Source organism: Homo sapiens, chromosome 15 (assembly GCF_000001405.40).
Source record: "Homo sapiens chromosome 15, GRCh38.p14 Primary Assembly".
Taxonomy (NCBI): Eukaryota; Metazoa; Chordata; class Mammalia; order Primates; family Hominidae; genus Homo; species Homo sapiens.
In genome coordinates this window covers 40684957-40706598 of record NC_000015.10, presented here as the reverse complement: position 1 = coordinate 40706598, position 21642 = coordinate 40684957, and the positions used below count along the sequence as shown (strand labels likewise).

General features: G+C 44.8%; 1 protein-coding gene and 1 long non-coding RNA gene across 11 annotated transcripts in view, besides 7 other annotated features; one reads left to right on the top strand and one right to left on the bottom strand.

Annotated features, from left to right (window-relative positions):
• The window catches only part of RAD51 (RAD51 recombinase), a 37608-nt gene extending 25742 nt beyond the window's left edge, over window positions 1-11866 (bottom strand). For 2 of the 10 annotated variants that reach the window (XM_011521857.3, XM_011521861.3), the window contains exons 1-4: window positions 11779-11866; window positions 7754-7842; window positions 5398-5535; window positions 305-422 (exon numbers count right to left, since the gene is read on the bottom strand). In XM_011521857.3, the coding sequence (XP_011520159.2) occupies window positions 305-422; window positions 5398-5535; window positions 7754-7842; window positions 11779-11866 (433 nt within the window). The other 8 variants (NM_002875.5, NM_001164270.2, NM_133487.4 and 5 more) reach the window with 7 other exon arrangements.
• Window positions 9984-10580: an enhancer, noted in NCBI's record as "H3K4me1 hESC enhancer chr15:40988217-40988813 (GRCh37/hg19 assembly coordinates)". NCBI's record gives its function as "activates a minimal SCP1, AML or CMV promoter by ChIP-STARR-seq in naive H9 embryonic stem cells {active_cell/tissue: H9 hESC(naive)}" and the evidence as "EXISTENCE:reporter gene assay evidence [ECO:0000049][PMID:30033119]".
• Window positions 10581-11178: an enhancer, noted in NCBI's record as "H3K27ac-H3K4me1 hESC enhancer chr15:40987619-40988216 (GRCh37/hg19 assembly coordinates)". NCBI's record gives its function as "activates a minimal SCP1, AML or CMV promoter by ChIP-STARR-seq in naive H9 embryonic stem cells {active_cell/tissue: H9 hESC(naive)}" and the evidence as "EXISTENCE:reporter gene assay evidence [ECO:0000049][PMID:30033119]".
• Window positions 11216-11275: an enhancer, noted in NCBI's record as "active region_9258". NCBI's record gives its function as "activates an Ori minimal core promoter by ATAC-STARR-seq in GM12878 lymphoblastoid cells {active_cell/tissue: GM12878}" and the evidence as "EXISTENCE:reporter gene assay evidence [ECO:0000049][PMID:35858748]".
• Window positions 11494-12865, top strand: RAD51-AS1 (RAD51 antisense RNA 1). The gene is made up of 2 exons (NR_040058.1): window positions 11494-11587; window positions 11804-12865. It is a non-coding gene; the product is annotated as an RAD51 antisense RNA 1 (long non-coding RNA).
• Window positions 11746-11895: an enhancer, noted in NCBI's record as "active region_9257". NCBI's record gives its function as "activates an Ori minimal core promoter by ATAC-STARR-seq in GM12878 lymphoblastoid cells {active_cell/tissue: GM12878}" and the evidence as "EXISTENCE:reporter gene assay evidence [ECO:0000049][PMID:35858748]".
• Window positions 11746-12435: a biological region, named in NCBI's record as "H3K27ac hESC enhancer GRCh37_chr15:40986424-40987021".
• Window positions 11776-12373: an enhancer, noted in NCBI's record as "H3K27ac hESC enhancer chr15:40986424-40987021 (GRCh37/hg19 assembly coordinates)". NCBI's record gives its function as "activates a minimal SCP1, AML or CMV promoter by ChIP-STARR-seq in naive and primed H9 embryonic stem cells {active_cell/tissue: H9 hESC(naive and primed)}" and the evidence as "EXISTENCE:reporter gene assay evidence [ECO:0000049][PMID:30033119]".
• Window positions 12256-12435: an enhancer, noted in NCBI's record as "active region_9256". NCBI's record gives its function as "activates an Ori minimal core promoter by ATAC-STARR-seq in GM12878 lymphoblastoid cells {active_cell/tissue: GM12878}" and the evidence as "EXISTENCE:reporter gene assay evidence [ECO:0000049][PMID:35858748]".

Below are 21642 nucleotides of genomic sequence, written 5' to 3'. Positions count from 1 at the left end.
TCCCGAGTAGGCATGTGCACCTACAGGGATTACAGGCATGTGCCACCATGCCCAACTAATTTTGTATTTTTAATAGGTTTCTCCATGTTGGCTGGGCTGGTCTCGAACTCCCAGCCTCAGGTGATCTGCCCACCTCAGCCTCCCAAAGTGCTGAGATTACAGGCATAAGCCACTGCACCTGGCCTTCCTCTATCTCTTTATCATTATCTAACAAGGAAATGCTACACAAATATTTCAGTTTTGTTTTATAACCTGGAAGCTTTCCTAACTAGAGTTCACAACACAGGATAAAGGATTACTACACCTTGAAGTAGTTTGTCAAGCTCTTTGGAGCCAGTAGTAATCTGTATGATCTCTGACCGCCTTTGGTGGAATTCAGTTGCAGTGGTGAAACCCATTGGAACTAATTTAGCTGCCTCAGCCTGGGAAAAATAAGAAATATTAAATCAACAAAATAATATTCCTTACCACAGTGATCTTGATGGCAAAAAAATATATATAAAGAAAAAAGAAATATTAGTAAAACAAGGTGTGCAATGGGAAGAGAAAATATCAAATAAAATTACCAGGATGATTTCTCTTTAGAAAGTCATAAAAAAGGATAATCTAATTCAGAGATTCCATGAAGATCAATTTTTAAATTGCCAATTCAAGTTAATATATTAATATAGTTTTAAAAACTATTATAGATCCGGCCGGGTGCGATGGCTCACGCCTGTAATCCCAGCACTTTGGAAGGCCAAGGCAGGCGGATCACAACGTCAGGAGATCGAGACCATCCTGGCTAACATGGTGAAACCCCATCTCTACTAAAAAAATACAAAAAATTAGTCGGGCGTGGTGGCGGGTGCCTGAAGTCCCAGCTACTTGGTAGGCTGAGGCAGGAGAAAGGCGTGAACCCGGGAGGCGGAGCTTGCAGTGAGCCGAGATCGCGCCACTGTACTCCAGCCTGGGGGACAGAGCGAGACTCTGTCTCAAAAAACAAAACAAAACAAAACAAAAAACTATTAGAGATCCGTACATATGTGTTTTGCCCAATTTATGACAAAAATGACAATACAGTACACCTTCATTTCCTGCTCCATCAACCGCAGACTGTATCCCTTAACTTCCTACTTTGTAAAAATGAGGACATTTGCCCTTCAATCTTTTCTCTCTCCATGGCTACTTCCCCACCTCTATCAGCTGTACCTTTTCTTTCATATTGTCTGGCTGAGAACATTCACATTCTATTTTGTAATTACAGATAAGTGTTCTGTAATAGCACTATGGGTTGATTCTAAAATTGAAAAGTAAGTGCATTCACAAATATGCAAAAATAAAGCAACACACTCCTAAATAAGCAACAAGTCAAAGAAGAAATGACAAGGGAAATCAGAAAATGTTTTTGCAATGAATGAAAACGAAGATATACCAAAACGTATGGGCTCCAAGAAAAGCAGTGCTTAGAGAGAAATTCATAGCTATAAACAGCTATATTAGAAAAGAAGGCTGGGTGTGGTGAATCACACCTGTAATCCCAGCACTTTGGGAGGCTGAGGTGGGAGGACTGCTGGAAGCCAGGAGTTTGAGACCAGCCTGAGTAACAAAGCAGCACCCTGGCTCTAAAAATGTTTTAAAATTAGCAGGGTGGCTGGGTGTGGTGGCTCACCTCTGTAATCTCAGAACTTTGGGAGGCTGAGGTGGGCAGATCACAAGGTCAGGAGTTCAAGACCAGCCTGACCAACATGGTGAAACTTCCTCTCTACTAAAAATACAAAAATTAGCCGGGCGTGGTGGCACGCGCCTGTAGTCCCAGCTACTCGGGAGGCTGAGGTGGAAGAATCACTTGAATCTGGGAGGCGGAGGTTGCAGTGAGCTGAATTTGCACCACTGCACTCCAGCCTGAGAGACACAGCGAGATTCCATCTCAAAAAAAAAAAAAAAAATTAGTAGGGCATGGCTGGGCATGGTGGCTCATGCCTGAATCCCAGCACTTTGGTAGGGTGAGGTGGGCAGATCACGAAGTCAGGAGTTCAAGACCAGCCTGCCCAATATGGTGAAACCCCATTTCTACTAAAAATACAAAAAATAGCTGGGCGTGGTGGCGTGCGCCTGTAGTCCCAACTACTCAGGAGGCTGAAACAGGAGAACTGCTTGAACCCGGGCGGCGGAGGTTGCAGTGAGCCGAGATCACACCACCGCACTCCAGCCTGGGCAAGAGAGTGAGACTGCATCAGAAAAAAAAAAAAAAAAGGCCTGGCGCGGTGGCTCACGACTGTAATCCCAGCACTTTGGGAGGCTGAGGCAGGCAGATCATGAGGTCAGGAGATCAAGACCATCCTGGCTAACACGGTGAAACCCTGTCTCTACTAAAAATTAGCTGGGCATGGCGGCACGTGCCTGTAATCCCAGCCACTCAGGAGGCTGAGGCAGGAGAATCGCTTGAACCCAAGAGGCAGAGGTTGCAGTGAGCAGAGATCACGCCACTGCACTCCAGCCTGGGCACAGAGGGAGACTCCGTCTCAAAAATAAAATAAAATAAAATAAATAGCAGGGCATGGTGGGGCGTGCCTGTGGTCCTAGTTACCTGGGAGGCTGAGGCAGAAGGTTTGTTTGAGCCAGGAGTTGGAGGCTGCAGTGAGCTATGATCACACCACTGCACTCCAACGTAAGTGACAGAACAAGACTCTGCCTCTAAAAATAAAAAAGATAAATCATAACCTAACCTTCCAAAGAAAAGCAAACAAAACAAAGCAAGCAGAAAGATGGAAATAATACAGGTTAGGGTAGAAACTATTAAGTAGAGGGCAGAATAATAGAGAAAAATCAATGAAACCAAAAGCTGGTTCTTTGAAAATATCAACAAAATTGACAAACTTTTAGCTGCATTGCCCGAGAAAAAAAGAGAAAAGACTCAAATTACTAAAATCAAGAATGAAAGAGGGGACATTACTACTGACTTTATGTAAATAAAAAGTAGTATAAGGAAACCCTGTGAGCATCTCTATGTCAACAAGTTAGGTAACTTAGATGAAATAAGCAAATTCTTAGAAAGATAAACTACCAAAACTCACTCAAGAAGAAAATCTAAATAGACCCATAGAAAGTAAAAAGATTAAACTTTCATAATGTTTAAATTTCCCATGAAGAAAAAAAATCAACAAATAGCTGAAAAATCAATGAAAGTTTATTCTCTAAACTTTTCTATATACTTAATATTTCATTTAAAAATTCATTGCACGGCCAGGTGCAGTGGCTCACGCCTGTAATCCCAGCACTTTGGGATACTGAGATGGGCGGATTACCTGAGGCCAGGATTTTGAGACCAGCCTGGCCAATTCATATACTCACTGTCATTTCAGTGCAACAAACATGTACTAGACACTTACTTCGTATGAAACATAGTCCCAGGGACTCTGAAGGATATGGAGAAAAAGAAGAGCTGATTCCTGCCTCCACAGAGCTTATAACTTAATCAGAAAGATAAACTATACAAAATAACTATAGTACAAGTAGATGTGATGGGTAATATGAGAAGTACTAACAAGCCATGGGAGCTCAAGGAATATAGACTACTTCCTTTGGTGAAAAACAGGAGAATGTATTAGCAAAGACAAAACTGGTAGAAATGGTCAGGCTAGTGGCATGTGCCTATAGTCCCAGCTACTCAGCAGGCTGAGAATTCCTTGAGCCCAGGAGTTTGAAGCTGAAGCTGCAGTGAGCTTTGATCATGCCACTGCACTCCAGCCTGGGCAACAGAGTGAGACTTTTCTTTTTTTTCTTTAAAAAAAAAAAAAAAAGGTGGGCACAGTGGCTAGTGCCTGTAATTTCAGCACTTTGGGAGGCTGAGGTGGGCAGATTGCTTGAGGCCAGGAGTTTGAGACCAGCCTGGGCAACATGGTGAAACCCCGTCTCAACTGAAAATACAAAAATTAGCCACGTGTGGTGGTGGGAGCCTGTAATCCCAGCTACTTGGGAGGCTGAGGCACGACAATCACTTGAACCCGGAAGGCAGAGGTTGCAGTGAGCAGAGCCAAAATTGCACCATTGTGCTCCAGCCTGGGTGACACAGCGACACTCTGCCTCAAAAAAAAACAGAAAACAAACAATACAATCATAATCTTTACTGGCCAGAAACAAAGAACATAAAATATTGAAAAGTAAAGACACGTAAGTCTATACCATATTGCATCTCAAATCATGTATTCTAGGTTTGCATTGTTGTGTTCATAGAAACAGAGAAGTGACTTGATTTCTGAAACCAAGATCTCGCAAGGCAAAAAGAAAAGATCCTGTCAGCATTTGTTCATTCACAAAAACTGATACCCAAAAAGCGAAAACAGAAAGACTTTAGGGACCCCTACTGGCTTAGTCAATATGACAATCTTTTAACAAAAATACTGTTAGGGACTCAGAACCCTTATTTCCAATTAAGCAACCACTTCAGCAAATATTCATTTGAGTAATCCAATAAATTTATCTAACGCTAACAGTAATCGATACGTGAAAATACAATTTTATAAATAAATATTTGCGGTGGGGCGCGGTGGCTCACACCTGTAATCCCAGCACTTTAGGAGGCTGAGGTGGGCAGATCACAAGGTCAGGAGATCGAGACCATCCTGGCCAACGTGGTGAAACCCTGTCTCTAATAAAAATACAAAAATTAGCTGGGTGTGGTGGCACATACCTGTAGTCCCAACTACTCGGGAGGCTGAGGCAGGAGAATCACTTGAACCTGAGAGGCGGAGGGTGCAGTAGACCAAGATCACGCTATTGCACTCCAGCCTGGCAACAGAGCGAGACTCCGTCTCAAAAAAAAAAAAAAAAAAAAAAAAAATCTGCTTTATACTACATAAAACTTCAAGGGTAAAGGCAATAAAACTGTGTAACTATATAAACACTGAAGAAATAGGTTCATAAAACAAAATGTAACCATGGGGAAGTATGTATGTTAAAGAACTATATGAAGCTAGAAAAATAAATAGGCCAGGCACAGTAGCTCACACCTATAATCCAGCACTTTGGGAGGCTGAGGTAGGTGAATCGCCTGAGCTCAGGAGTTCGAGACTACCCCGGCATGGTGGCATGTGCCTGTAGTGTAGTCCCAGCTACTTGGGAGGCTGAGGTGAGAGGATCGCTTGAGCTTGGGAGGTGAAGGTTGCAGTGAGCTGAGATGGCACCACTGCACTCCACCCTGTGTGACAGAGCGAGAACCCGTCTCCAAAAAAAAAAAAAAAGAAAGAAAAAAAAAAGAAAAGAAAAGAAAAGAAGAAAAGAAACAGGTAACAGTCACCCCTGGAAAGGATAATGAGATGACCGAAGAATAAGAGATAGAAGGAAGAAGTCTTTCACTACATTCCCTTTTGTACTATTCCCACTAATGCCTCCCTAGGTTAAGTAAGCAGTACTTACCAGAATTTTATCAGCTTTGGCTTCACTAATTCCCTTAATATTTATTAGCTCCTTCTTTGGCGCATAGGCAACAGCCTCCACAGTATGGAATCCAGCTTCTTCCAATTTCTTCACATCGTTGGCATTTATGCCACACTGCTGCAAATGAAGAAAACCATGGATAAATTTAAGCTTTAGTTCTCTAATCTAACACAGATGTTATGTGTCCTACATACTTCACAGAGGTGCTTGAAGACTTGTAATACAACTGTCCCTTGAAATCCTTGGGGGGGCGGGGGGAGATGGGAAGTTGGTTCCAGGACCCCCAGCAGATAACAAAATCCAACAATGCTCAAGTCCCTTATATAAAATGGCGTATTACCTGCATATAACCTATGTACATCCTCCTGTATACTTTTTTTTGATATGTAGTTGATTGAATTTTTGATACGTAGTTTGTTGAATTTGCTGATACAGAATCCGGAGATACAGAGAGCCTACTGTTATTATATGCAAAAGCTGAAAAATGAGCCCTATATATGAGGTACTTAATAACAAATTAACAACCTTTTCATTATCAAAATCAATAATTTTAAACTAGCACTAAGCCATGTACATTAAAAAGAACTCCTATTAGCAATTGGAATTAAAAAGTAACTCCCAACCTTTTTTTGTGACCCTAAATGATCTCTGAGACCTTGGGCCCTACAAGACCACTTTAAGACAGTGTTGCTCAACACTTTCCACATCAAGCACACATAAAAAACTGTATTTTTACACTATGGTAGGGTAAATAGATAAGGCTGCTCAGAATATAAAGAGCACTATCTTGGCCTGTCAATACTTTTTGTTGAACAATGACCAGAAAGCTCTGCTCTAACAACTGACATTAACAGTGAGGAAAACTACTTTTTGTCAGGGACTTTTATACCTCTTCTCAAAACAAACCACCCAAAGACACCTCTTTCTTCCTATATTCAAGTCAGCTTTGGTTTCATTAGCCACCAAAACCATGACTTCTGGGAAAACATGAGTTAGTAGGTGAATGTGGGTGCATTCAGGGGTTGGGAGAATTTAGAAGAGGGGAGAGATTAGTTTGCCAACATAAGCCATGTCTGCTATTAATATTTAAGCAATATGCATGTTTGAGTATAAGGATGCTCATGGCACCAGAAGTTATGACTCTGAACTTTCAAATGTTTATCACAAATCCATTTAAGTAACTTCTAGAGTCTTTTTTTTTTATTAGCCTTTTGCACTCCTAACTTCTAGAGTCTTGAAGATTAGTCAGAGATGGGAAATATGAAAAAAAGAGACAGAAGAATCAAGTCTTTCTCTGCTTTCCTCCTACTTAGCCCAAATCAGCTGCACTCACAGGGCAGTCTCTATACAATGGGCAGAAATAGTGTAAGGCCTCAGCTCTGGTGCTTAATGTTCTTGTGCAGAATCCTGAATTGGAGCTTGTCTCTTATACCATAACACCACCACACCCTTCTCTCTGCCAATGACAGCTGACAGCACAAATCTAGGTTAATGGAGAGAAGGTGCTTCCCTGTCTTCCTTGCATAACTGGTCCAGGCCGCTATAATTCCCAGAACAGCACTTTCATACTTAGTGCAAATAGCACAGGATGCTTTGGCCAGGCATGGTGGCTCATGCCTGTAATCCTAGCAGTTTGGGACGCCAAGGCAGGTGGACTGCTTGAGGCCAGGAGTTCAAGATCAACATGGTCAACACAGTTAAGACCCATTTCTTAAAAAACAAACAAAAAAACAGCACAGGCTGGGCGCAGTGGCCCATGCCTGTAATCCCAGCACTTTGGGAGGCCAAAGAGGGTGGATCACCTGAGGTCAGGAGTTCGAGACTAGCCTGACCAACATGGAGAAACCCTGTCTCTACTAAAAATATAAAATTAGCTGGGTGTGGTGGCTCATGCCTGTAATTCCAGCTACTTGGGAGGCTGAGGCAGGAGAATCGCTTGAACCTGGGACGCAGAGGTTGCGGTGAGCCGAGATCACGCCATTGCACTCCAGCCTGGGCAACAAGAGCGAAACTCCATCAAAAACAAACAAACAAACAAACAAAAACAGCACAGAGATTCCACCATGGGATCCTAGGCCTTAGTTTCTGACAGTCCAACTCTCAGAAATAAAAATGATAAAGTAGGAAGAGAATTGTTGACAAAGGAAGAGGCCCTGCCAGACATATTTAGCAATGATCTGCAGCCTTTCCACAGGATTATTGACAACACTTCTGAAAAGTCTAATTTGGGTCTTGACCTTGGTAGTAAACCTATATTTTATGTAAAGGTTGTAATACCTTCCACTAGGTAGAAGAATCTAGTATATAATTCCAAAATTAGCAACTAACCACATACCTCTAACCGTGAAATGGGTTGTGGGCCAAAGCTTTCTTCTTCCACTGAAGTATCTGCATTTGCTTCAAGCTGCATCTGCATTGCCATTACTGAAAAATACAAATGCTTATCAGTATAAACACTAGAGAAATAAGGTGCATCTCTCTCCCCATCTTCTATCTAGCTAGTCGTATCAAAAAGACTTTAGGAAAAGCCAAGGCCATTCTCTTATTGTGCCTCTCTGTTCTCCTGCTTTATATTCCTTCAGTGTAGGGGCCAAGTTTTACTTATTTTTATATACCCCATTATACATTATAAATGTGTTTGCAGACAAATACTGCATGATCTCACTCATATGTAGAATCTAAAAAAGTTGATCTTGGCGGGGCGCGGTGGCTCATGCCTGTGATCCCAGCACTTTGGGAGGCCGAGGCGGGCAGATCACCAGGTCAGGAGATCAAGACCATCCCGGCCAACATGCGAAACCCCGTCCCTACTAAAAATACAAATATTAGCAGGGTGTGGTGGCACACGCCTGTAGTCCCAGCTACTCGGGAGGCTGAGGCAGGTAAATGGCTTCAACCCGGAAGACAGAGATCGCAGTGAGCCGAGATCGTGCCACTGTACTCCAGCCTCATGACAGAGTGAGACTGTGTCTCAAAAAAAAAAACAAAAAAAAAAAAGTTCATCTCATACAAGGAACAAATAGAACAGTGGTAACCAGAGACTGAGGAGAATGCAGCTGTTGCAGGGGGCGGCAGGAAGGAGAGAGGTTGGTCAACAGGCACAAAGTTTCAGTTAGATAGGAGGAATAAGTTCTAGGGTTCTATTTCACAGTAGGGTGACTACAGTAAACACTAATGTAATGTATACTTCAAAATAGCCAGAAGCGAGTATTTTGAATGTTCTCATCACAAAGAGAAATGACAAGTGTTTAAGTGAACTGATGGATATGCTGATTACCCTGATTTGATCATTCATTATACAATGTATATATGTATTGAAATATCATCTTGGGCCAGGTGGAGTGGCTCACGCCTGTAATCCCAGCACTTTGGGAGGCCAAGGCGGGTGGATCACCAGGTCAGGAGATCGAGACCATCCTGGCTAACATGGTGAAACCCTGTCTCTACTAAAAAATACAAAAAATTAGCTGGGCGTGGTGGCAGGCTGAGACAGGAGAATGGCGTGAACCCAGGAGGCGGAGCTTGCAGTGAGCCAAGATCGCGCCACTGCACTCCAGCCTGGGCGACAGAGTGAGACTCCGTCTCAAAAAAAAAAAAAAAAAAAAAGAAATATCATCTTGTATCTCATAAATATGTACAATCGTCTGTCAAAAACAAAGTAACACTTATTATTTTCACAACCTTGGGACAGAAAAAGATTTCTTGAAACTGGATGCATAACGCACTAGCCAAAAAGGAAAAGACTGAAAACTGAACTACATTTAAATTCAGCACTTCTACTGGGCACTGTGGCTCACGTCTGCAATCCCAGCACTTTGGGAGGCCAAGGCGGGCAGATCACCTAAGTTCAGGAGTTCAAGACCAGCCTGACCAACATGGAGAAATCCTGTCTCTATTAAAGAAAAATACAAAATTAGCTGGGCGTGGTGGCACATGCCTGTAATCCCAGCTACTCGGGAGGCTGAGGCAGGAGAATCGCTTGAACCCGGGAGGCGGAGGTTGCGGTGAGCCAAGATTGTGCCATTGCACTCCAGCCTGGGCAACAAGAGCCAAACTCTGTCTCAAAAGGAAAAATAAATAAATAAATAAATAATAAAAAAATAAATTCAGCACTTCTATTCATCAAAGGACACCACTAAGAGAGTGACAAGTCAAACCACAGTAGAGAAAACATTTAGCACAAACATAACTGAGGGCTGATAACCAGTATATAAAGAACTTCACATCAGTAAGAAAAAGATAATAGAAAAATAGGCAAGAGATTTGAACAAGCACATCACAGAAGATATCAAAATGGGCAAAAACATATGAACAGATGTCCAACATCATTATTAATCAGGAAAATTAAAATCACATTAAGACATTACTGTGTAACCAGCAGAATAGTTAAAATCAAAAAGGCTGAAAAATATCGTGTTGGCAAGCATGTGAAACAACGAAACACTCAACACTCCTGATGTATTTTTATATAAAATTCAAAAACAAGCAACATTAGTTCATCTCATTAGAAACCAGTATAGCAGTTACCACTGTAAAAAGGGGAAAATATTAAATACTACACAGGAAGGCTTCTGAGGACCATTCTATTAAGTGGTGATTACATAGGTGTATATTCATTTTGTCTTGCTCTATCGCCCAGGTTGGAGTGCAGTGGCCTGATCACAGCTCACTGCAGCTTATACCTCCCAGGCTAGATCCTCCCTTCTCAGCCTCCTGAATAGCTGGGCCTACAGGTGCACGCCACCATGCCTAGCTAATTTTTCCTATTTGTAGAGATGCGGGTCTCACTATCTTGACCAGGCTGTTCTCGAACTCTTGGGCTCAATCGTCCTCCCGCCTCCACTTCCCAAAGTGCTGGGACTACAGACGTGAGACACGACGCCCGGCCAGTATATTTTGTAATAATTCACGGAGTTGTATACAGTTGTGAATGTGAATTTTTCTACATGTATATTACATTGCGCTTTAGAAGTTAAAAACAAACAAACAAACAAAAAAACAGGGGCCAGGCGCTGTGGCTCACGGCTGTAATCCCAGCACTTTGGGAGGCAGAGGCGGGTGGATAACCTGAGGTCAGAAGTTCGAGACCAGCCTGACCAACATGGTGAAACCCCGTCTCTACTAAAAATACAAAAATCAGCCTGGCGGCGTGGTGGTGGGGGCCTGTAATCCCAGCTCCTCGGGAGGCTGAGGTAGGAGAATCGCTTGAATCCGGGAGGCGGAGGTTGCAGTGAGCCGAGATCGCGCCACTACACTCCAGCCTGGGCGGAAGAGCGAGACTCCATCTCAAAAAAAAAGTTTTAAGAAAACCAAACCTCACTTCAGATCATTCTCTAGGCATCATGTGAATGGTTTTCCGCATTAGATGATGAAAACACTGTTTTGGCAATCGGAGATTGGTACTTTCTAAGCACGGTGTAATGGAAAGACAGATCAGGAATCCGGAAGCCCTGGCTGTGATATTAAACAGCTGTGGCTACACCGCTCTGATCTCGGACTTCTCGCTCGAACCCATAAAATAGGTGTTGCCTATAAAGGCTCTAATGTTTCTCCCCTAGTTCTAAAGACTGAGGTCCACTTGTGTTTTCGCCCCAGCAGCTGAGGGTCGGTCGGGCGCGGACACGCCCTGCCACGTCCGGGTTTCACACTGCGCGCGGAGGCCCCAACTGCCGCTGAGCACTGGACCGGCCAGGACGCAGGTGGGCGAGGACGAGCCGCGGCTCTGGAGGGCCCAGCCTGCGCCTCACACACTCACCTCGGTCCGCAGCGCTCCTCTCTCCAGCAGGCCCCGCGCTCCGACTTCACCCCGCGGGCGTGGCACGCGCCCGACCCGCACGGCCCCCAACGCCCCTGGCTTACGCTCCACTTCTCTACTCGCTTGCCCCAGCCTTCTGCGCACAACCCAGATGAGTTGCAGTTCCCAGCTGCACGCCTCGGGAAGCGCCGCACTCTCCTTAGGGCTCGGTCTCTGGCCGCTGCGCGCGGTCCGCCAGCGGCTTTCAGAATTCCCGCCAAACCCTCTCGCCCAGGGTCACGCCCGCGTCGACGTAACGTATCCCCGCCTCCCGGATCCGCCTTCTCCCCGCTTCCGCCCTGCGCGCTAACCCAAGACGGGAGCTCGAGAGCTTGATCCTGCGCGAGTTTACAGACTGCCCTCTTCCCTTTTTGCGTAAGGACTAATTCAAACTTTATGCCGGGGGCGGTGGCTCACGCGTGTAGTCCCAGCTGCTCGGGAGGCCGAGGCGAGAGTATCGTCTGAGCCTAGGAGTTCGAGGCTAACCACGGCAACGCCCCTACTCCTACCCCAGTCCCTCGCGGGTGGGGCGAGGGATTTCAGGGGGCGGTGGGGGAAGACTTAACCGAGTTGCCGTCTTCTGTTTACCAGATCGAAGACCACGACTCCCAAGAGGTAATGCGTCGGCCCGGGACTACATCTCCCGGCATGCATCGCCGGCGGGTCCGCGAGTTCTCACCATCGCAGCTGGACTATTAGCGGGGGCCCTAGCGCTCTTGTGGTTTGTTTCGGCAGTATCTGAATGTCAGCTTTTGGCACTTCTGGTCGCTCTGAGCCTCCTACTCGCATTCCTGGAGCAAGGTGCTTTCCAGGCCTCATGGAGGTGGAGGAGCTGAGGAAGCTCGAGAAGATGGATAGAAGTGGGAAATGGAGCTAGCGTACGGGAGAGGGAAATGGCTGGAATATTCGTCAATCTGTGGTGCTTTACTGGAGATTTGCAGGAGTTCAGAGGAAGGGGGCATTGAATTTCATAACCTAAACCGTATCGTGGTTTACCAGAAAGTTTTGACCCGTGATTCCGGTTTTAAAGGCTGAGTAGGGCCGGGCGCGGTGGTTCACGCCAGTAATCCCAGCAGTTTAGGAGGCCAAGGCAGGCGGATCACCTGAGGTCAGGGGTTGGAGATAAACCTGGCCAACGTGGTGAAACCTCGTCTTTAGTAAAAAATACAAAAATTAGCCAGGTTTTGTGGCACATGCCTGTAATCCTAGCTACTCGAAAGGCTGAGGCATGAGAATCGCTTGAACTCAGGAGGAGGTTGCAGCCAACCGAGATCTCGCCGCTGTACTCCAGCCTGGGCGACAGAGCGAGACTGTGTCAAAACAACACCACAAGCTAGCTGAGTAGGGATTCTTGGGCGAAGTGGAAGACATTATAAGCAAATAGGGTAGTATGGGCATGGAAACGAACTACATGATTAAAGATTAGTATTATCTGGCGAGGGAGGAAAAGTGCCAGAGCAAGTGCCGAAACTGGAAGGTTACATTTAGTTCAGGATATGAAGATCATATAAGGCCTGCACGGTGGCTCACACCTGTAATCCCAGCACTTTGGGAAGCCAAGGTGGGGGAGGATCGCTTGAGCTCAGGAGTTGGAGACCAGCCTGGGCAACATAGTGGGACCCCATATCTCAAAAAAAAAAAAAAAAAAAATAAGCTGGGCGTGGTGGCTTGTGCCTGTGGTCTCAGCTATCCCGGAGGCTGAGGTGGGAGGACTGCTTGAGCTCAGGACGTCAAGGCTGCAGTGAGCTATGATGGGCCACTGCACTCCAGCCTGGGCTACAGAGTGAGACCTTGTCTCAAAAGACAAGCGACAACAACAAAACATGTAAGGAGAGGCCAGGCGCGGTGGCTCAAGCCTGTAATCCCAGAACTTTGGGAGGCCAAGGTGGGCGGATCACGAGGTCAGGAGTTCAAGACCAGCCTGGCCAAGATGGCAAAACCCCATCTCTACTAAAACTACAAAAATTAGCCGGGCGTGGTGGTGCATGCCTGTAATCCCAGCTCTTTGGGAGGCTGAGGCAGAGAAGTGCTTGAACCCGGGAGGTGGAGGTTGCAGTGAGCGAGATCACGCCACTGCACTCCAGCCTGGGCAACAGAGCAAGACTCCGTCTCAAAAAAAAAAAAAAAGGTAAGGAGCTTTGGTCTCTAGGTACTGAAGAAATCATTGAAGTTTTTAAGAAGACAAGTCATTTGGTTAGATCTATTTTCCCTCCACTTACCAATTTATTTTTATTTTTATTTATTTATTTATTTATTTATTTTAGATGGAGTCTTGCTCTGTTGCCCAGGCTGGAGTGCAGGGACGTGGTATCAGCTCACTGCAACCCCACCTCCCAGATTCAAGCGAGTCTTCCTGCCTCAGCCTCCCAAGTAACTGGGATTACAGGCGCCTGCCACCACGCCCAGCTAATTTTTTGTATTTTTAGTAGAGACAGGGTTTCACCATGTTGGCCAGGCTGGTCTCGAACTCCTGACCTCAGGTGATCCACCTACCGTGGCCTCCCAAAGTGCTGGGATTACAGGTGTGAACCACCGCACCCGGCCTTATTTTTTTATTTTTGAGACAGCATCTCGCTCTGTTCAAGTTGGCCTTGAACTCCTGGCCTCAAGTGATCCTCCCACCTTGGCCTCCCAAAGTGTTGGAATTACAGGTGTGAACCATTGCAATGGCCTTATTACTACTTTATATTTGTGGAGTGCTTTAAAGTTGACAAAGTTTTTAGTTAATCCTCACACTATTACCTTGTGGCGTTGAAGAACAGATTTCAGGAGCGTGAAAGTGAAGACACCAAAAAGGAAGTTCTTGCAATATTTCAACAAAGAGATGAAGATTTGGATTAGATTCCAGTTCTACCTTTTTGGCACCAGGGAGCTGTTCTGTGAAAGACAATTTTCCACAGGGCTCGGGGGGTGGGCATGAGGCAGAGGATGGTTTCGGAATGAAACTGTTGCACCTCAAGATCATCAATTAGATTTCCATAAGGAGTGTGCAATCTAGATTCCTCACAGGTGCAGTTCAAAATAGGTTTTGAGTTCCTGTGAGAATCTAATGCTCTCCTTGATCTGACAGGAGGCAGAGCTCAGGCAGTAATGCTTGCTTGCTAGCTGCTCACCTGCTGTGCAGCCCAGTTCCTAATAGGCGACAGGTCTGTGTTGGGGCGTTGGGGTCCTCTGAATTAGAGGAATGACAGAGAGAACAGACTCAGGCAGCTTTCTGGATGTAGAAACAACCTAACTTAGTGATTATAGATACTACCTGTGATAATAGTGAACTTTCTTCCATATCAAAGTTACACACCTTTGCCTCCGGTTCTTCCCACACCCTTAGAGCATCTGCAAACCTACAGCCCTCCTCCTAGCTGACTGTAGTCACATGACTTTTACCTTTCTGGCCACCAGTTGTACCAGCAGTGTTCATCTGGCCCCAAATTGGCCAATCATTTTCCTGCTCCTGGAAAATTAGACTTGGCTTTATATTCAAGTCTGACCTCAGGAATTTATGGGGCAAAGTACACAGATAGATGTGTGTGAATGTCCAATCAGAGAAAGCACATCTGCAGAAAGATTAAGAAATTGATGTCGGGTGTGGTGGCTCAAGCCTGTAATCCCAGCACTTTCGGAGGCTGAGGCAGGCGCATCACCTGAGGTCAGGAGTTCGAGACCAGCCTGACCAACATGGTGAAACCCCATCTCTACTAAAAATACAAACATTAGCCTCCAGCTACGCAGGAGGCCAAGGCAGGAGAATCGCATGAAACTGGGAGGCAGAGGTTGCAGTGAGCTGAGATCGTGCCACTGCACTCCAGCCTGGATGACAGAGCAAGACTCTGTCTCAAAAAAAAAAAAAAAAAGAAAAAGAAAAAGAAATTGAGATACTAAGGAGAGAGTCAAAGATAAATAAACCATTTGAATTCTGACTCCTTTCCAGATCGCCTTTCCAGTTTCTCAGAAGCCTAGCAGTACTTACTCCTCCTGCTCTTGGGTTCTTTTTTACTTTTTTTTTTTTTTTAAAAAAAAAACCTTGAACTCTTAAGGATTAATGCTCTTGAGTTATGAGATATCCCTACATTCCAATAACTCTACCTTCTATTTTTATTGATTAAACTAGTTTGAGTAGTTTCTGTTCCTTTCTTCCAAAACAACCCACTGAGAACTTGGAAATAAGGCAAACTAGATTTCCCTCTAATAGTTAAATTGGCATTCTCTGAGAATATTTATAAATGTGTTAATTGAAAAATTTTGGAGTGTGGTGGCTCACACTTGTAATCCTAGTGCATTGAGAGGCTGAGGTGAGAGGACCATTTGAGGCCAGGAGTTAGAGACTAGTCTGGGCAATGTAGTGAGACCCCCCAACTCTACAAAAAAAAATGTTGTTTTGTTTTTTTTGTGTTTTTGTTTTGAGATAGAGTCTCGGTCTGTCGCCAGGCTGGAGTGCAGTGGTGAGATCTGGGCTCACTGCAACCTCGGCCTCCCAGGTTCAAGCGATACTCCTGCCTCAGCCTCCCGAGTAGCTGGGACTACAGGCACATGCCACCACGCCCGGCTCATTTTTTGTATTTTTAGTAGAGATGGAGTTTCACCATGTTGGCCAGGATGGTCTCGAACTCCAGACCTCATGATCCGCCTCGGCCTCCCAAAGTGCTGGGATTACAGACGTGAGCCACCGCGCCTGGCCAAAAAAAACCTTTTTTTAAAAATTAGCCAGGTGCGGTGATGCACACTTGTAGTCCTAGCTGTCTGGGAAGCTGAGGAGGGGAGATTGCTTGAGCCCAGGAGTTCAAGGTTACAGTGAGCTATGATTGCACCTTGCACCACTGCACTCCAGTCTGGGCGAAAGAGTGAAACTTTGTCTCAAAAAAAAAAAAAAAAAGTATAAATACATATATATAAATGTATATATATAGAGATACATACACACACACATACATATATATGTATTCTTTATATATAAGGTAATGTGTATCAAGTGATCTAATCTGCTCCTAATTCACCTCCTCTAGTATGCTTACAAAATGAGAGTCCTGGAATAGCAGACATGCATTGTAAATAAATGAACATCTTTCTACAAGTATATTTCCCCAAGGTTCAACTGAATATAGTTTGCTATAATTTCTTAAAATTCAATCAATTTCACATCCATTAAACTTACAAGTACCGTAATCCAGTTTTCCTAGGAAAACTAAGCCCAGCCGAACCTTGGGAAAAATACCTCTGTGTTAAACATATATACATGATCGATTTTAAATGTTTTCACCACAAAAAATGGTAAGTACGTGAGGTGATGGATTTGTTAACTCAGAAGCAGGCACACCAAATCACAATGGGTCTGATTCGATCCTCCCTGATGGCAATGGAGACCCATCTAACTAATCCCACTTCTAATTACCTTTCTTTTTCTCCTTACAGACCTAAAAAATCTCACCATTTCTATTAGCCTGAAAATAACATCCCTCTGTTCTTCTCTTCCTCCTTCAGCACTGAATCTCGCTTACACTAGGTTTTACTTAATGATTCTCCTCCTTATACTTTCTGTCTCACCAGTTTCCTCTCACACTTATTTACCTGCTACACAAAATTATTCTTATTGGGCTTATGTGCCCTTTCCTCCACTTATTCGACCTCTCACCTGGATTGATGCTCCTGCGGAAATCTACATTAACGATAGTTTGTGGATGCCTGGAGCTACAGATGACCGTTGCCCTGCTCAACCAGGAGAAGAAGGCACTACATTTAATGTTATCATGGGTTATAAATAACACCCTCTGTGCCTCAGAAATGCACCTGGTTATATCCATCTAGAAACTCAAGTCTGGGCTGCTTATCTTCCCGAGAGATCAGCTACAGAGGAACCGGGACATTTGGTCTCTGGCCTCTCCCTTTCTCCTTTAAAACAAATGAAAGGGGGAGTAATGGGACATACCCCATACTTTCAATAAGTAGCCTCCAGGCATTCCCTTCCACCAGAGGAGCAATTGTTTTTTAAATAGCCCTTTGGCGCCCAGTCTATTACTAAACCATATGAGTCATTTTTTAATATTACTGCATGTGAGTTAACATAGTCTTCCCAAATTAAAGTTTTAGATGGGCCCTCAAAATTTTTAGGGCATGGTTTTCCTGCAGGTTTATATGGAAAGTATGGGGTCCCTGACTTCTCGCAACAGTGGCCTACACTGCCTTTCAGTTTACCTAGGCCTCCAAAGCACTTTAGCCTGTGGGGCTTGCCAGAACTCGGGTTCCAGCTCCTGGAATGGACAGTTCCCCTCTGGCTAGGGTTGATCTAATGTTCCCTCTGGGTTACTGGCTGAGTTCTGCCCTGTGTGGCTTTCTGCTGTGCCAGGGCTGCACTGAGTTCAAATGCAGAGTCTCACAATCATTGTATTCTTCCTCCCCCAGGAGCACCCATTCTCTCTTTACACCAATTGGCCACTGCCAGGGGATGAAGAGGGATGATGTTGACAATTCAAGACTATTTCTTACCCTCTTCAGTGCCTGTTTCCTTAATATGATAATAAACCAGGTACTGCGATCACTCACCTGATTATTGGTTCTTATGAAGGTGCTTTTTTAATGTAGTTGTTCAGTTTGATATTTCTGTCGGAGGGATGACTGCTGGAGGATTCTATTAAGCCATCTTGCTCTGCCTTCTTGCAACACATAAAATTCAACAGTTTTGTGCAACTGTAAGTTCAAGTGTTTGTAATTTTATTTATTTCATTTTTTTCTTTGAGATGAAGTCTCCCTCTTGTTACCCAGGCTGGAGTGCAGTGGCGCGATCTTGGCTCACTGCAACCTCTACCTCCTGGGTTCAAGCAATCCTCCTGCCTTATCCTCCCAAGTAGCTGGGATTACAGATGCCTGCCACCATGTCTTGCTAACTTTTGTACATTTAGTAGACATGAGGTTTTGCCATGTTGTCCGGGCTGGTCTTGAACTCCTGACTTCAAGTGATCCACCTGTCTTAGCCTCCCAAAGTACTGGGATTACAGGTGAGAGTCACTGCTCCCTGCTGCAAATTTCTTATTAAATCTGTTTGACAGATTTTAGAATTTCTATAAGTAATGTTTAAAATTACAACCATTTGGGCTGGGTGTGGTGGCTCATGCCTGTAATCCCAGCACTTATTTTATTTCTTATCAGGAGAACGAGAATCATCATACTACTTTGCATCGGAGGTTAAGCTCATTCTTTTCCTTAAAATGGGAAGATAAAGGCATTACCCCCTCTCCGAGGCCTCATATGATACTCCCCATTCTGACCCAGAACACCCAGAACTTTGGAAATTGGCTATTGCCATGTCTGGACTGCAAGTATGGGAAGCAGAAACTATTCTGTCTGTTGTCCCCACTACCATCTCCCTCTCTCAGTATCAACGTAGATCCAGACATTCTGCTTTACCTACCTCCAACCTGTTTCCATACAGAGTTCTGTTAAGCCTCCTTGCATGCTGTTAGTGAGATATATCAAAATTTGGATGAACAATCAAACTGTCCAATGCATTAATTGTCATTTATACACTTGTATTAACTCCCATTTTGATTCCAGGAAAAGTGTAATGTTGGTTCGAGCTCAAGAAGGAATCTGGATTCCGGTAACTTTGCCCAGACCTTGGGAATCCTCCCCTTCAATACATTTAATTAATGAAGTGTTACAGTGAATTCTAAAAAGATCTAAGAGATTTATTTTCACTTTAATTGCTGTTATCATGGGCCTAATTACAGTCACTGCAGTGGCCACCACTGCCGGAATGGCATTACACCAGTCCATTCAAGCGGCTCATTTTGTTAATGGTTGGCAAGCCAATTCCATCCAAATGTGGAATTCTCAACAAGGCATCGATCGAAAATTGGCAAATCAAATTAGTGATTTAAGACAGTCTGTTATTTGGCTTGGAGATCAGGTAGTGAGTCTCGAGCATCACATGCAAATGCAGTACGATTGGAACACTTGAGATTTCTGCATCACCCCGTATTCCTATAACGAGACTGATCATTCATGGGAAATGGTCAAAAGACATCTTCTGGGTAGGGAAGATAATTTATCACTGGACATAACTAAATTAAAGAGACAAATTTTTGAAGCCTCTCAAGCTCACTTATCCATTGTGCCTGGAGCTGAGGCGTTAGATCAGGTGGCAGAAAATCTTTCTGGATTAAACCCCAGGACTTGGATTAAGTCTATTGGGGGCTCCACTGTAGTAAATTTTGGAATTATGTTTCTCTGTTTAATCGGCTTGTTTTTAGTTTGCCAGACTAGTCAAAGAATCCTGCGTCAAAATCAAGAGAACGAACAAGCCTTCATTGCCATGGCACATTTATTATAAAAAGAAAGGGAGAGATGTTGCGGGAAGTCAGGGACCCCGGAGGGACCAGCTGAAGCCATGGCAGAAGAACATAAATTGTGAAGATTTCATGGACATTTATTAGTTCCCCAATCAATACCCTTGTGATTTCCTATGCCTGTCTTTACTTTAATCTCTTAATCCCGTCATCTTCGTAAACTGAGGAGGATGTATGTCGCCTCAGGACCCTGTGATGATTGTGTTAACTGCACAAATTGTAGAGCATTTGTGTTTGAACAATATGAAATCTGGGCACCTTGAAAAAAGAACAGGATAACAGTGATGTTCACGGAACAAGAGAGATAACCTTAAACTCTGACTGCCGGTGAGCTGGACGGAACAGAGCCATATTTCTCTTCTTTCAAAAGCAAATGGGAGAAATATCACTGAATTCTTTTTCTCAGCAAGGAACATCCCTGAGAAAGAGAATGCATCCCTGAGGGTAGGCCTCTGAAATGGCTGCTTCAGGGCAGCTGTCTTTTATGGTCGCAGCTGTGGGGATGAAATAAGCCCCAGTTTCTCAGAGTGCTCCCAGGCTTATTAGGACGAGGAAATTCCTGCCTAATAAATTTTGGTCAGACCAGTTGTCTGCTCTCAAACCCTGTCTCCTGATAAGATGTTATCAATGACAATGCATGCCCGAAACTTCATTAGCAATTTTAATTTCACCCCAGTCCTGTGGTCCTGTGATCTCGCCCTGCCTCCATTTACCTTGTGATATCTTATTACCTTGTGAAGCATGGGATCTCTGTGACCCATACCCTATTTGTACACTCCCTCCCCTTTTGAAAATCACTAATAAAAAATTTGCTGGTTTTATGGCTCAGGGGGCATCACAGAACCTGCCAACATGTGATGTCTGCCCTGGACACCCAGCTTTAAAATTTCTCTCTTTTGTACTCTGTCCCTTTATTTCTCAAACCGGCCAACACTTAGGGAAAATAGAAAAGAACCTACATGAAATATTGGGGGTGAATTTCTCCTGATATCTGGCTGAATTTCCCCCGACAGGCCACAGGGACCGCAATTCCTGGGCAAGTCCTTGTGCCATGCTAGGCTCAGAGCCAGCGGACTTTGGGGTGCACACAACCTAGTGAGATACCAGCTGGGGTGGCCAAGGGAGTACTTGCATCACCCCTCCCAGAACCCCAGGCAGTGCAGCTCACAGCTCTAGGAGAGACTCCTTCCTCCTGATTGAGGAGAGGAGGGAAGAGTAAAGAGAACTTTGTCTTGCATCTTGGATACCAGCTCAACTACCATAGAATCGGGCACCAGGCAAAGTCCTGAGGCTTCATTCCAGGCCCTTGCTGCTGGATGACATTTCTAGACACATCCTGGGCTAGAAGGGAGCCTGCTGCCTTGAAGAGAAGGACCCAGTCCTGGCAGGATTCATCACTTGCTTACTAAAGAGCCATTGGGACCTGAATAGTCAGGCAGTACTCACGGCAGGCCTTGGGTAAGACTCAGAGCCACGCTGGCTTCAGATGTGACCCAGCACATTCCCAGCTGTGGTGGCTATGGGTAGGGACTCCTGCTTGAGGAAAGGAGAGGGAAGAATAAAGGGGACTTTGTCTTGCACCTTGGGTACCAGCTCAGTCACAGTGTAGTAGAGCAACAAGCAGGCTTCCAGGGTCCCCATTTCCAGGCCTTGCCTCCTGCAAAGCATTTCTGGAACTGCTCTGGGCCAGAAGGGAATCCATTGCCCTAAAGGGAGAGAACCAGGCATGGCAGCATTCACCATGACCTGACTGAAGAGCGCTTGGGCCTTGAGTGAACTTTGGTGGTAGCCAGGCTACTTGCCCTGGGACTGAGGCAGTAGTGGTCATGGGGAGAGACTCTTCTACTTGAGGAAAGAGGAGGGAAGAGTGGGAAGAACTTCATCTTACAACATAGGTGCCAGCTTAGCTGCAGTACAATACAGTACCAGGTAGAGTCCTAAGGTTCCTGACTTGAGGCCCTGGCTCCTTGATGGCATCTCTGGACCCACCCGAGGCCAAGGGGAACTCACTGCCTTGAAGGAAAGGACATAAGACTAGCTGGATTCACCACCTGCTGATTGTAGCACCCTTGGACCTTAAGTGAACATAGGCAG